This window comes from Homo sapiens, chromosome 20 (genome assembly GCF_000001405.40).
Source record: "Homo sapiens chromosome 20, GRCh38.p14 Primary Assembly".
Lineage (NCBI taxonomy): Eukaryota > Metazoa > Chordata > Mammalia > Primates > Hominidae > Homo > Homo sapiens.
The window spans coordinates 11,792,067-11,793,282 of NC_000020.11; the positions used below are offsets into that span (position 1 = coordinate 11,792,067).

At 41.0% G+C, this 1,216-nt stretch overlaps 1 annotated feature.

Moving 5' to 3' along the window:
- Positions 485-985: an enhancer, noted in NCBI's record as "H3K27ac hESC enhancer chr20:11773199-11773699 (GRCh37/hg19 assembly coordinates)". NCBI's record gives its function as "activates a minimal SCP1, AML or CMV promoter by ChIP-STARR-seq in naive H9 embryonic stem cells {active_cell/tissue: H9 hESC(naive)}" and the evidence as "EXISTENCE:reporter gene assay evidence [ECO:0000049][PMID:30033119]".

Here is a 1,216-nt window from a genome sequence, read left to right on the forward strand (position 1 = left end):
CTTATACCCTACCCCATACAGGCTTTGCCCAGCCCAGTCTGCATACCTAATCTCTGATGTCAATTCCTGTGCTTTGCCTAATAAAAAAAATCCCTACCTACTGACTCTTTTCAGGGAGCCAGCCTGAAAATCCTTGTGTCTCTGCTGTCTCCCTTGTCCCGCAACAGAGACCTATGTGGGAAATCTACTTGATGCCCCGTGTTAATTTCCATTACATGAGGAGTGTAAGACCCTGTGGTCTGTAACACAAGCCCTCTATCAATGATCAGTGGTCAGTGAACAGCACAAACGCTTTCACAGTGCTGACTTTGCAGAGTCTGTTCCCTCAGGCTGGACTCCCCATTCCTCTTTTTCTCTTTGAAAGCTCTACTTTATTCTCTACAACCAACCCCAATTGTTGCGCTCTCACTCAAGTCTCCTTTGATCCCTGGAAAGGATCAATTACTCATTTTTTTCTATGGTTTCAAGGCCTTTTATATAATCCACTCTTACGGTACAGACATCATTTTAGATATGTTAAATGAGTTGACTTCCTGGCTAGATTATTAGTTCCATGAGGACAGGGATTACATGTGGCTTTTTTTCTCTATCCCCAGCATTTACAACAGTGCCTGGAGTACAGGAGATGCCCTGTGACTGATTGATGAATAAATCGATGCCTACATGAGAACAATGTTCTTCTTTGTGGAAGAACAAAGTAATTCATTCAGATTCTGCTTTCTATTTAAACTAAAGAATCCTGCTGAGCTGTGTCCCTGAAATAGCCTGTGTAAGCACCCTGTTTACTCATAACCTGGGAGGCTTTTAGCTTTTAGCTAAAATTGTCCATGTCAGTGGCATAGGGCATGCACACAATTAAAAGAGGACAATAAAACGTCCTTGTTCAAGCAAATGCTGATTCAATTATTGGGGCTCCCTGGCATTAGCCACTGGATTCAATTATCTCCAAGAGCAAAAGCTGGAAATCAAGGGGTTGAAAGAAGGCACTGACATTTAAGCATAGAGATCAGACTCACCTTGACCTCTCATCTTTTTGGATATAGTGATCATATAGAACGTGATGATCCTCTCATCAACTTTTGGACCAGCTTTCCCCCGTTATTCCCCTCCCATCCATTATAAAAGAGACCTAAAATTTCTGATAACTTTTATCGAAATATAATCTACATACCAACAGTGCAAGAATTATAATGGATTTATAAGTAAATTATAGATT